Source organism: Homo sapiens, chromosome 14, assembly GCF_000001405.40.
Source record: "Homo sapiens chromosome 14, GRCh38.p14 Primary Assembly".
NCBI classification, from domain to species: domain Eukaryota; kingdom Metazoa; phylum Chordata; class Mammalia; order Primates; family Hominidae; genus Homo; species Homo sapiens.
In genome coordinates, this window is record NC_000014.9 from 21,287,870 (window position 1) to 21,301,559 (window position 13,690).

A 13,690-nucleotide genomic window follows, 5' to 3' on the forward strand; every position below is an offset into this window, starting at 1 on the left:
ACTTATGTACACGTTTCAGAAGACATCCTAAAGTTGCATGTAACTGACTGGACTTTTCCTTTATTTCAGTGTCCTCTGGGATCTCTTACAGCTTGGGAACAGAGATCATGTCACATCTGGTGGACCCTACATCAGGAGACTTGCCAGTTAGAGACATAGATGCTATACCTCTGGTGCTACCAGCCTCAAAAGGTAACTTCTACGCCTGAGGATGGACACCTTTTAGAATTAAAAGAACTCTCACTGTGGAACATCTTGCTGGCCTTCACAGAGACTGATTTACTTTCAGCTCTTTTCTTCAGTCTTCTCACTTTTTTTTTTTTTTTTTTGAGATGGAGTCTCGCTCTGTCACCCAGGCTGGAGCACAGTGGCACAATCTCAGCTCACTGCAGCCTCCGACTCCTGGGTTCAAGCAATTCTCCTGTCTTAGCCTCCCAAGTAGCAGGGATTACAGGCGTGCACCACCATGCCTGGCTAGTTTTGGGATTTTTAGTAGAGACAAGTTTTCACCATGATGGCCAGGCTGGTCTCAAATTCCTGACCTCAAGGGATCTGCCCTCCTCGGGCTCCCAAAGGGCTGGTATTACAGGTGTGAGCCACTGTGCCTGGCCCTCTTCTCACATTTTATTCTTAAGTTCTTTTTTTTTTTCTTTTTTTTGAGATGGAGTTTCACTCTCTCTCGTCCCCCAGGCTGGAGTGCAGTGGCCCAATCTTGGCTCACTGCAACCTATGCCTCCCGGGTTCAAGCAGTTCTCCTACCTCAGACTCCTGAGTAGCTGGGACTACAGGTGGCCACCACCACGCTTGGCTAATTTGGTATTTTTAGTACAGATGGGGTTTCACCATGTTGGCCAGGCTGATCTCGAACTCCTGACCTCAAGTGATCCGCCTGCCTCGGTCTCCCAACGTGCTGGATTACAGGCGTGAGCCACCGTGCCCAGACTTAGTCTTAAATTCTTACAGTAAAAGTATTACTGTGTGGGTTTAGGAGGTAAAGCTAAATACTACCACCACAAACAGCACAACAAAAGCCAAGAACAACTAGTGGGTTTCACTCATCTATCCTTGTGATTAGCCCTTAGCCCTTCACTGTCACTAAGCAGAAGTGTTCAATTTAAGATGAAAGGGCTCAGCCCTACCAGAGCTTCTTCCACACATTATTTAAGATATCTTTAGGGCTGGGCGCAGTGGCTCATGCCTGTAATCCCAGCATTTTGGGAGGCCGAGACGGGCAGATCACGAAGTCAGGAGATCGAGACCATCCTGGCTAACATGGTGAAACCCCGTCTCTACTAAAAATACAAAAAAATTAGCTGGGCGTTGTGGCGGGCGCCTGTAGTCCCAGCTACTCAGGAGGCTGAGGCAAGAGAATGGTGTGAACTCAGGAAGTGGAGCTTGCAGTGAGCCGAGATCGCACCACTGCACTCCAGCCTAGGCGACAGAGCGAGACTCCATACCACCCCCCTCCCCCAAAAAACCATATTTTTCTAACTTTGGCCAGGCTTGGTGGCTCACACCTGCACCAGCTACTCGAGGCTGAGGTGGGAGGATCACTTGAGCCCGGGAGTCCAAGATCAGTCTGGGCAACATAGCAGTACCCTATCTCTAAAACAACAAAAAAAGGTATTTTTGTAATTTTGCTCCACTTTCCCATCCCTCAATCCCAATCATGGCTACCGTTGATTCTATTTTCACTTGACTTCACTTCTATAAAATTATTTTTTGAGGATAGGGCACTTTATGCACTGCCCATAAGTGTATAAATGATGCAACCACTTTGGAAAATATTTGCCATTATCTAGTAAAGTTGAACGTGTAACTCTACTTTTGAGTATAAAATTGGCAGAAATTGCCTGGGCATAGTGGCTCACGCCTGTAATCCCAGCACCTTGGGAGGCCGAGGCAGGTGGATCACCTGGTCGGGAGTTAAAAATTTGCAGAAATTAACTCTTGCCCATATATACCAGGAGACATTACCAGAATGTTCATAGCAGTATTTTTTTTTGAGACAGATTCTTGCTTTGTCACCTAGGCTGGAGTGCAGTGGCGTGATCTCAGCTCACTGCAACCTCTGCCTCCCGGGTTCAAGTGATTCTCCTGCCTCAGCCACCCAAGTAGCTGGGATTACAGGCACCTGCCACCACACCTGGCTAATTTTTATATTTTTAGTAGAGATGGGGTTTCACCATGCTGGCCGGACTGGTCTCCAACTCCTGGCTTCAAGTCATCTGTCTGCCTCGGCCTCCCAAAGTGCTGGGATTACAGGCAGAAGCCACCACACCTGGCCCCTGTTTTTATTTCTCCTGGGCACAAATCTAGATGTAGAATTGCTGGGTCATACGGTAACACTAGTTTAACATTTTGAGGAACTGCCAGGCTATTTTCCAAAGCAGTGGCACCATTTTACATTCCTACCAGCAACGTATGATGCTTCTGATTTCTTCACTTTCTCAGCAACACTTGTTATTGTTTGTAACTGAGGTGTTATCTCATTGTATTTTTAAAAAAATATATTCTTTCTTGGCTGGGCAAAGTGGTTCACGCCTGTAATCCCATCACCTTGGGAGGCCAATGCAGGTGGATCACCTGAGGTCAGGAGTTCAAGACTAGCCTGGTCAGAACAGTGAAAACCCATCTATTCTAAAAATAGAAAAAGTTAAGGCCGGGCACGGTGGCTCATGCCTGTAGTCCCAGCACTTTGGGAGGCCGAGGCGGGTGGATCACGAGGTCAGGAGATCGAGACCATCCTTCCTGGCTAACACAGTGAAACCTCGTCTCTACTAAAAAATACAAAAAAAAATTAGCCAGGCCTGGTGGCGGGCGCCTGTATTCCCAGCTACGTGGGAGGCTGAGGCAGGAGAATGGCGTGAACCCGGGAGGCGGTGCTTGCAGTGAGCCGAGATCGCGCCACTGCACTCAAGCCTGGGCGACAGAGTGAGACTCCGTCTCAAAAAAAAAAAAAAGGAAAGAAAGAAAGAAAAAGTTAGCTGGGCCAGGTGGTGCACACCTGTAGTCCCAGTATTTGGGAGGCTGAGGCATGAGAAAAACTTGAACCCAGGAGGCATAGGTTGCAGTGAGCCGAGATGGTGCCACTGCACTCCAGCCTGGGTGACAGAGCGAGACTCCATCTCAAAAAAAAAAAAAAAAGGATTCTTTCTCGTTATGGTTTTGATTTGCATTTCTCTGATGAATAATCACACTGACCATTTTTCATATGCTTATTTGCCATTTGTATATCTACTTGGGAGAAATGTCTATTCAGGTCCTTTGCCAATTTTCTTTTTAATTCAGGGGCCAGTTTTGCCAATTTTTAAATTGGATTATTTGTCTTTATATTGTTGGTTTTAAGAGTTCTTTGTATATTTTGGACACAGTTGAGAATTTTGTGCTTCTGAAAGCTTTAACTGTTCCACAAAGTCCATGAAACATGAACTGACTGAGATAATTTTTCAAGTTAGAAGAGTCATAGTGATAGGAAACCGTTGTTCAGGAACTACCTACCTGGAGTTCCAGTCAGTTTGGAAGCCACCCACATATCCAAAAAGCTAAAAGAATTCAATATTTTTCTTCAGTATCATAAAAGAAAAATAGAAGATGAGAAAGGGGAATATTTACAAGTTTATTTTATGAAAAAATAAGCTTTTTTAGGTTTCATTACAAACATGTCCAATTTCACTTCTGTCATTTATGAAATAACTAAAAGTAGATGAAGTACCTTTTTTTTTTTTTGAGACAGGGTCTTGTTCTGTCACCCAAGCTGGAGTGCAGTGGTGCGATCTTGGCTTACTGCAACCTCTGCCTCCCAAGGCTCAAGCGATCCTCCAGCCTCAGCCTTCCAAGTAGCTAGGACTACAGGTGCACACCACCATGCCCAGATAATTTTTGTTTTCTGTTTTTTGTTTTTTGTTGAGATGGAGTCTCGCTTTTGTTGCCCAGGCTGGAGGCAACGGTGCGATCTTGGCCCACTGCAACCTCCACCTCCCAGATTCAAGCAATTCTCCTGCCTCAGCCTCCCGAGTAGCTGGGATTACAGGCACGTGTCACCACACCCAACTAATGTTTGTATTTTTAGTAGAGACGGGGTTTCACCATGTTGGTCACGCTGGTCTCAAACTCCTGACCTCGTGATCCTCCGGCCTCAGCCTCCCAAAGTGCTGGGATGACAGGCATGAGCCACTGCACCCAGCCAATTTTTATATTTTTTGTAGAGAGGGATTTCACTGTGTTGCCCAGGCTGGTCTCAAACTCCTGAACTCAAGCTGTCTGCCCACCATGGCCTTCCAAAGTGTTGATATCACAGGCATGAGCCACCGCGTCTGGCCTAAATATTTGTCATATATAAATATTTTTATAAAGGCATATGGTCATGTTATAATTTTCTTCCTAGTGACCTTACCTTCCTAGTTGACCTAGCAACATTATTTTGCAGGTTCTTTGGTTGGGAAGTTGTATTTTTTTTTTTCATTCTAAGCACCTCAGAAACACTGTTTTCGGAGAAAAAAAAATTTTGATGTCACAAATAGATAAAACCACATTAAGGGAATATTTTTATAGCATATATTCAAAAATTAATCTAGCCAGTGACTCATGCCTGTAATCTCAGCACATTGGGAGGCCAAGGCAGGAGGATCACTTGAGCCCAGCCTGGGCAACATGGTGAGACCTTGTCACTATAAAAAATTTAAAAATTGGCCAGGCATGGTGGCTTATGCCTGTAATCCCAGCACTTTGGGAGGCTGAGGCAGGCGGATCACCTGAGGTCAGAAGTTTGAGACCAGCCTGGCCAACATGGTGAAACCTCATTTCTACTAAAAATACAAAAATTAGCTGGCTGTGGTGGCCCATGCCTGTAATCCCAGCCATTCGAGAGGCTGAGACACAAGGATTGCTTGAACCTGGGAGACAGGGAGACGGAGGTTGCAGTGAGCCAAGACAGCACCACTACACTCCAGCCTGGGCAACAGTGAGAGACTCTGTGTCAAAAAAATAATAATTAGCCGGGCGCAGTGGCTCACGCCTGTAATCCCAGCACTTTGGGAGGCCGAGGCGGGTGGATCACGAGGTCAAGAGATGGAGACCATCCTGGCCAACATGGTGAAACCCCATCTCTACTAAAAATACAAAAAATTAGCCAGGTGTGGTGGCAGGTGCCTGTAATCTCAGCTACTTGGGAGGCTGAGGCAGGAGAATTGCTTGAACCTGGGAGGCAGAGGTTGCAGTGAGCCGAGATCGCACCATTGCACTCCAGCCTGGGCAAAAAGAGCGAAACTCTGTCTCAATAAATAAGTAAATAAACGCAAAAAAATAAAAAATATGGTTCCCATTCACCATGAGATCAGAGCAGACCTGGGCCAGTGAACACTCACAATGAAAAGTGTGCTCCAGTTTCCTCTGCTTAGACCAAGCAGAGGCTCTTGTCCTAGGAGGCAGCTTTGGGGACAGTTTCTCCTGACCAAAAAAACAAACGAGATGGTTCTTGGAAATCAAAAAAAGTTTTTATCCTTTTCCTTACTGGGTTTTTGAAGACAGTCATGGGAACAATCCTTGTGTAGGTCCAAATTATCTAATAAGGAGAAAAAAATAGAAGAATAGGCTGGGCATGGTGGCTCATGCCTGTAATCCCAGCACTTTGGGAGGCCGAGGCAGGTGGATCACCTGAGGTCAGGAGTTGGAGACTAGCCTGGCCAACATGGTGAAACCCTGTCTCTACTAAAAATACAAAAATTAAGCTGGGCACGGTGGCTCACACCTGTAATCCCAGCACTTTGGGAGGCCGAAGCGGGTGGATCACAAGGTCAAGAGATCGAGACCATCCTGGCTAACATGGAGAAACCCCGTCTCTACTAAAAATACAAAAAAATTAGCCAGGTGTGGTGGCTGGCGCCTATAGTCCCAGGTACTCGGGAGGCTGAGGCAGGAGAATGGTGTGGACCTGGGAAGCGGAGCTTGCAGTGAGCCGAGATGGCGCCACTGCACTCCAGCCTGGGCGAGAGTGCGAGACTCCGTCTCTTAAAAAAAAAAAAAATGGAAGAAATTAGCTGGGTGTGGTGGCAGGCACCTGCAATCCCAGCTACTCTGGAGGCTGAGGCAGGAGAATCACTTGAACCTGGGAGGTGGAGGTTGCAGTGAGCCAAGATCACACCAGTGTACTCTAGACTGGGTGACAGAGCGAGACCCTGTCTCAAAAAAAAAAAAAAAAAAAGAAGAAGAAGAAACTAAAAAGAAAAATTAAGTAAAATAAAAGCCTAATTGGATATTTTTATCTAGAGAATGTACTTTCTAGACGGAAGGTCGAGTTATACCTCATGCTGTGATAATATAGAAAGGGTCTCCAGGGACCCAGTAGGAGTCATTTCTGTTTTTGTTTTTTTTTTTTTCCAAGGCAGAGTCTTGCTCTGTCACCCAGGGTGGAGTACAGTGGCACGATCTCGGCTCATGGCAACCTCTGCCTCCCAGGCTCAAGCAATTCTCCTGCCTCAGCCTCCTGAGTAGCTGGGATTACAGGCACGTGCCACCACGCCCAGCTAATTTTGTATTTTTAGTAGAGACCGGGTTTCACCATGTTGGTCAGGCTGGACTCGAACTCCTGACCTCACAATCTGCCTGCCTCAGCTTCCCAAAGTGCTGGGATTACAGGTGTGAGCCACTGCGCCTGGCCCAGAGTCATTTCTCATACTTCCTGATTTCCTCATAAATACTTGACTCAAGATAGATTTATGCTCTCTGGACAAGATGTGATGAGACATCTAAAGGGTTCAAAAAATAGGTGTAAAAATACTGTCCATTTACTGTTTTCTGGGACTTTAGGTAAGAATATGAAAACTCAACCACCCTTGAGCAGGATGAACCGGGAGGAATTGGAGGACAGTTTCTTTCGACTTCGCGAAGATCACATGTTGGTGAAGGAGCTTTCTTGGAAGCAACAGGATGAGATCAAAAGGTACTTAGAGTTCTCCTTAAATTTTTTTTTTTTTTTTTTTTTTTTTTTTTTTTGAGACGGAGCCTTGCTCTGTTGCCCAGGCTGGAATGCAGTGGCATGATCTTGGCTCACTGCAACCTCCGCCTCCAGATTCAAGCAATTCTCCTGCCCCAGCCTCCCAAGTAGCTGGGATTATAGGCATGCGTCACCATGCCCAGCTAATTTAGTATTTTTAAGTAGAGATGGGGATTCGCCATGTTGGCCAGGTTGGTCTTGAACTCCTGACCTCAGATGATGCACCCACCTCGGCCTCCCAAAGTGCTGGGTTTACAGATGCGAGCCACTCTGCCCGGCCCAAAAATAATTTTTGAAGCAATATTTCTTTAGTCAATTTTTTTGCCAAACATGTCGATAGACTGTGACCACAGGACACAGAGCATCATTAAGAGCTTGGGTGATAATATTTCAGTCCACAGAATAAGAGACTGGACAGGTTCCTCCCCTGGTCACAACTGAGGGGATGGAGATAGGTGGAATGGTCAAAATTTCAGAGGAGAAAAGCCTGCAGGGGCAAGTAAAAGAAGGGGTCTTTATTTACAAAAGAAAACTAAAGATCGTATTGATCCCTGCAGGCATGTTGTAAGTGCTATCTATACATTTATTTATTTATTTATTTATTTATTTTTGAGATTTTTTTTTTTTTTTTTTTTTTGAGATGGAGTTTTGCTCTTGTTGCCCAGGCTGGAGCGCAATGGCATGATCTCAGCTCACCGCAACCTCCGCCTCCAGGATTCAAGTGGTTCTCCTGCCTCAGCCTCCCAAGTAGCTGGGATTATAGGCATGCGCCACCACACTCAGCTAATTTTTAGTATAGACGGGGTTTCTCCATGTTGGTCAGGCTGGTCTTGAACTCTTGACCTCAGGTGATCCGCCTGCCTCGGCCTCCCAAATTGCTGGGATTACAGGCTTGAGCCACCACGCCAGCCAATTTTTATTTATTTTTGAGACAGAGTCTCACTCTGTTTGGGCTGGAGTGCAGTGGTGTGATCTCGGCTCACTGCAACCTCTGCCTACTGGGTTCAAGCGATTCCCCTCCCTCAGCCTCCTGAGTAGCTGGAATTACAAGCTTGCACCACCACGTCAGAGTAATTTTTTTTGTTGTTTTGAGATGAAACCTCGCTCCGTTGCCCAAGCTGGAGTGCAGTGGCGCAGTCTCGGCTCACTGCAACCTCCACCTCCCAGGTTCAAGCAACTCTCCTGTCTCAGCCTCCCAAGTAGCTGTGACTACAGGCACACACCACCATGGCCAGCTAATTTTTTTTTTTTTTTTGGAGACGGAGTCTCCATCTGTCGCCCAGGCTGGAGTGCAGTGGTGCGATCTCGGCTCACTGCAACTTCCGCCTCCCGGATTCAAGCGATTCTCCTGCCTCAGCCTCCCGAGTAGCTGGGACTATAGGTGCCCACTGCCACCACTGGCCGTGCTGCCCAGGCTGGTCTCGAACTCCTGAGCTCAGGCAATCAGCCTGCCTCGGCCTCCCAAAGCGCTAGGATTACAGGTGTGAGCCACTGTGCCCAGCCATGCCTGGCTAATTTTTTTTTTTTTTTAGTAGAGATGGGGTTTCACCCTGTTGGCCACGGTAGTCTCAAACTCCTGACCTCAGGTGATCCACCCACCTTGGCCTCCCAAAGTGCTGGGATTACAGGCATTAGCCAACACGCCAGGCCTTAATATTTGTATTTTTTGTAGAGATGGGGTTTCACCATGTTGGCCAGGCTGGTCTCAAACTCCTGACCTCAAATGATCCCCCCATCTTGGCCGCCCAAAGTACTGGGATTACAGGCATGACCCATCGTGCCCAGTTAATTTATTAGAAATAGTATTAATTAGCCAGCCACAGTGGCTCACGCCTATAATCCCAGTACTTTGGGAGGCCAAGGCGGGTGGATCACGAGGTCAGGAGTTCAAGACCAGCCTGACCAACATGATGAAACCCTGTCTCTACTAAAAATACAAAAATTAGCTGGGCGTGGTGGTGGGCGCCTGAAATCCCAGCTACTCGGGAGACTGAAGCAGAATCACTTGAACCCAGGAGGCAGAGGTTGCAGTGAGCCGAAATTGTGCCATTGCACTCCAGCCTGGGCGACAAGAGCAAGACTCCATCTAAAAAAAAAAAAAAAAAGTATTAATTCATTTAATAGTCTGAAGAGGTATTATTAAGAGGAAAAGGAAGCATAAAGAGGTTAAATAAGTTGCCTGAGATCATACCTAGTGCATAACAGAGGTGGAATCTCTTTTTGTTTTGTTTTGTTTTGTTTTGTTTTTGAGACAGAGTCCTGCTGTGTCACTCAGGTTTGAGTGCAGTGGCGCAATCTCGGCTCACCGGCAATCTCTGCCTCCCGGGTTCAAGTGATTCTCCTGCCTCAGCCTCCCAAGTAACTGGGATTACAAGCATGTGCCACCATGCCTGACTAATTTTTGTATTTTTAGTAGAGACAGGGTTTCACCATGTTGGCCACGCTGGTCTCGAACTCCTTTCCTCAAGTGATCCGCCTGCCTCGGCCTCCCAAAGTGCTGGGATTACAGGTGTGAGCCACCGCGCCTGTCCCAGTGGGAAAAACTCTTAACTTCAAAACATATTATTATATACAGTGATCTTAGATTTCTTTCTTTAGAAAATGGGGACCTGGAAAGAAATCTGAGACGGAGGTGAGGGAAGGTAAACAGATGGGAAGAATGGGAGTTCTCAAAGTCTGGAGTCTATCTCTAGGACACATTTTGAAGATACTGGTGTCAATGCCTTCCAGCCAAGGACCACCAGGAACATACCAACAGTTGAGCAAGCTGGGCTTATTCATTACAGCTAGAGAATATGCACACCAGGGGAACTAAAGGCATCTCAGCAAATGTGTTAGAACTTATTATAGTATCTAAGCTTTGTTTGATTGGGTGATTTTGGGGGAGGATCCAAGGAAACAGAAGTTTGCTCCAGATTTCATGCTGTCAGAAAGCAAGCACAATTCTATGTTTCGGTATCTCAATAAATTATTCTTTCTTTCTTTCTTTCTTTCTTTCTTTCTTTCTTTCTTTCTTTTTTTTGAGATAGGGTCTCACTCTGGCACACAGGCTGGAGTGCAGTGGTGCAGTCTCAGCTCACTTTAGCCTCAACTTCCTGGAATCAAGTATCAATAAATCTTATCTACAGGGAGGGTAAACTAGTGCAAGGCTGAAGCCATGATTGGTAAAGAAGTTGCAGTCACTCATATTAACCTGGAGAGAAGGATGTTTGGTATTTTGTGGGTGGCAGTGACACTAATTTTGTCTGTAAGCAGACAAAATTAGGCAGTGGACTTGTTTTGTATCATTCTATCATGGTTTTGGAGTGAACTTGTTTCATGTTGATGTTCTGTGAGGTGTCCAAAAGAATAGTGGCTGGGCACGGTGGCTCATGCCTGTAGTTCCAACACTTTGGGAGGCTGAGGTGGGCAGATCACCTGAGGTCAGGAGTTCAGAGACCAGCCTGGCCAACGTGGTGAAACCCCGTCTCTTCTAAAAATACAAAGATTATCCGGGCGTGGTGGCAGGCGCCTATAATCCCAGCTACTCAGGAGGCTGAGGCAAGAGAATCGCTTGAACCCAGGAGGCGGAGGTTGTAGTAAGCAAGGATTGCGCCACTGCACTCCAGGCTGAGTGACAGAGTGAGATTCGGTCTCAAAACGAAAACAAAAACAAATGGAGATAGCACAGACTAGCTTCAAACAACACTGAGGACCAGTTGTGTCAGACCAGTTTCCTAATGTCAAGGGCAGTGTTTTGCTTTCTCATTGTAACCCCCAGGAGTGATTAAGATCTTCGTTTAGAATCTGCAGGATTGGCCGGGCGTGGTGGCTCATGCCTGTAATTCCAGTACTTTGGGAAGCCAAGGCGGGTAGATCACTAGGTCCGGAGTTCAAGACCAGCCTGTTCAACATGGTGAAACCCCGTCTCTACTAAAAATACAAAAATTAGCTGGGTGTGGTGGTGGGCGCCTGTAATCCCAGCTACTCGGGAGGCTGAGGCAGGAGAATCTCTTGAACCCGGGAGGCTGAGGCTCTAGTGAGCAGAGATCGCACCACTGTGCTCCAGCCTGAGCAACAGAGTGAGACTCTGTCTCATAAAAAAAAAAAAAAAAAAAAAAAGAATCTGCAGGAATGCAGGCCTCCATTGTGGATCAGCACTCTTCAGAGTTGGTGATTTTTTTTTTTTGAGATGGGAGTTTCGCTCTTGTTGCCCAGGCTGGAGTGCAATGGCGTGATCTCGGCTCACCGCAACCTCCGCCTCTCAGATTCAAGCGATTCTCCTGCCTCAGCCTCCCAAGTAGCTGGGATTACAGGCATGTGCCACCACGTGCAGCTAATTACAGACAGGGTTTCTCCATGTTAGTCAGGCTGGTCTCGAACTCCTGACCTCAGGTGATCCGCCCACCTCAGCCCGGCAAAGTGCTAGGATTACAGGCGTGAGCCACCGCAAAGGGCCGATTTTTTTTTTTTTAATTGTTGAGAACTTGAGAATCTAGTGACTTGAGTGAAGTCAGAAGGTTGTATGGGCCAAAAAATCTAGTTTCTTGGTTGATAATCAAAGAGTACTTGAGATTATGGATGCTAAATGGTTAATCTGGATTCTATGCCCCTGGCTTTGGGCAAGTTACATAGCTATTTTACACCTTGTTTTCTTTATCTGGGTATAATGATATGTAATAATAATAGCTCACACCTGAAGCCCTTACAGTGTAACCCCACTGTTCTAAGCATTTTACATATATATTTATATATAAGCTTATTAATCCTCACAACAATCTACTGCTTTTATCTTTTTCTATTTATCTTTATTTATAAATGAGGAAACTGAGCACAGAAAGGTTAAGTGGCATGGCCAAAGCTACAGTTAGTAAATGTCAGAACAGACGGGCAGTGTGTCTTAGTCAGCTCAGGATGCCATAACAAAATACCACGGACTGGGTGGCTGAAACAACAGACATTGGTTTTCTCAGAGTTCTGAAGCTGGAAGTCTGAGATCAAAGTGTCAGCGTGGTTGGATCCTGGTAAGGGCCATCTTTCTAGCTTGCTGACTGCTGCTTTCTCACTGTGTCTTGGGAGGTGGGAGAGGGAGATCTCTTGTTACAAGGCCACAGTCCTATCCAGTTAGGGCCCCACCCTTGTGAACTCATTTAAACTTAATAACCTCCAAAGGCCGGGCGCGGTGGCTCACGCATGTAATCCCAACACTTTGGGAGGCCAAGGCGGGCGAATCACTTAAGGTCAGGAGTTCGAGATCAGCCTGACCAACATGGAGAAACCCTGTCTCTACTAAAAATACAAAATTAGTATTTTGTGGTTAGGCGTGGTGGCGCATGCCTGTAATCCCAGCTACTCAGGAGGCTGAGGCAGGAGAATCGCTTGAACTTGGGAGGCAGAGGTTGTGGTGAGCTGAGATCGTGCCATTGCACTCCAGCCTGGGAAACAAGAGAAAAAGTCCGTCTCAAAAAAAAAAAAAAAAGCCTCCGGAACACCCAATGTCCAGATACAGTCACACTGGGGGTTAAGGCTTCAACATAAGAATTTTGAGTGGGGACACAATTCAGGCCATAGCACAGTGAGAGCATAGAATCAGATAGTAGCAAAAAAACCATGATTTTAGGTCAAGATAACAAATAAAAATTGTTACTAAAAGTTATAAAGGAGTTATCCTTAATTTGGAGCACATATACAGGGGTGTGTAGACAAGTGGGATAGAAAAAGCAAATATTAAAATTGTTATTTATATTTGTCACCCATTTAAACATACATATTTTGTTTTATAATGACAATTTATTAGTACAAAAACAAGTCTATATATAATTTTTTTAAATGCACACAAATACTATTGGGGTAGTGGCTCAACTTTTTTTTTTTTTTTTTTTTTTTTTTTACTAAGATAAGGGTGTAATCACTGCAATAAAATAAAGACAGGTATCACAATGGCCCTGCCCTCAAAGAGTTACAGTGTACTGGGGACAGAAGGCTAATCTTTTTAAAGTGTGGTTAATAGATCACGGTAGATGAATACATATTATAGATCAATTCGTGATTATATGTCCCAAATAACCCGTAGAAATAATAACTGTCATGAAAGGAGAAGCCACGTGCTCTATTTGTCCACAGGCTGAGGACCACCTTGCTGCGGTTGACCGCTGCTGGCCGGGACCTGCGGGTCGCGGAGGAGGCGGCGCCGCTCTCGGAGACCGCAAGGCGCGGGCAGAAGGCGGGATGGCGGCAGCGCCTCTCCATGCACCAGCGCCCCCAGATGCACCGACTGCAAGGGCATTTCCACTGCGTCGGCCCTGCCAGCCCCCGCCGCGCCCAGCCTCGCGTCCAAGTGGGACACAGACAGCTCCACACAGCCGGTGCACCGGTGCCGGAGAAACCCAAGAGGGGTGAGATTTAAGGCTACATCCCCTACAGGGCTAAGACACTGGGAAGGACTGATGTGCCAGCCACGTTTTCCTCACTGCCTTCTTCTGCCCACCACCCCATTTTGTTCTTTTGTTCTCACTCCCTCCTTTCTGCCTCCCTAAAATCTTTATTTCCTGAGTTGGGATATCAGATTCAAAATTCTAAATTCACCATGGAGTGTCGCTGAGGGCAGAATCAGACAACAGGTCAGGAGATGGAGACCATCCTTGTCCAACATGGTGAAACCCCGTCTCTAATAAAAATACAAAAATTAGCTGGGCATGGTGGCGCGCACCTGTAGTC

At 46.3% G+C, this 13,690-nt stretch overlaps 1 protein-coding gene and 1 pseudogene across 1 annotated transcript in view; both read left to right on the forward strand.

Annotated features, from left to right (window-relative positions):
• The window catches only part of RPGRIP1 (RPGR interacting protein 1), a 71,219-nt gene that overhangs the window by 7,787 nt on the left and 49,742 nt on the right, over positions 1 to 13,690 (forward strand). The window contains exons 2-4 of the mRNA NM_020366.4: positions 70 to 192; positions 6,808 to 6,940; positions 13,097 to 13,368. Of these exons, the coding sequence (NP_065099.3) occupies positions 108 to 192; positions 6,808 to 6,940; positions 13,097 to 13,368 (490 nt within the window). The 5' untranslated portion in view covers positions 70 to 107. The remainder of the gene's footprint in view (positions 1 to 69; positions 193 to 6,807; positions 6,941 to 13,096; positions 13,369 to 13,690) is intronic.
• MRPS17P6 (mitochondrial ribosomal protein S17 pseudogene 6) lies at positions 3,370 to 3,714 on the forward strand (annotated as a pseudogene).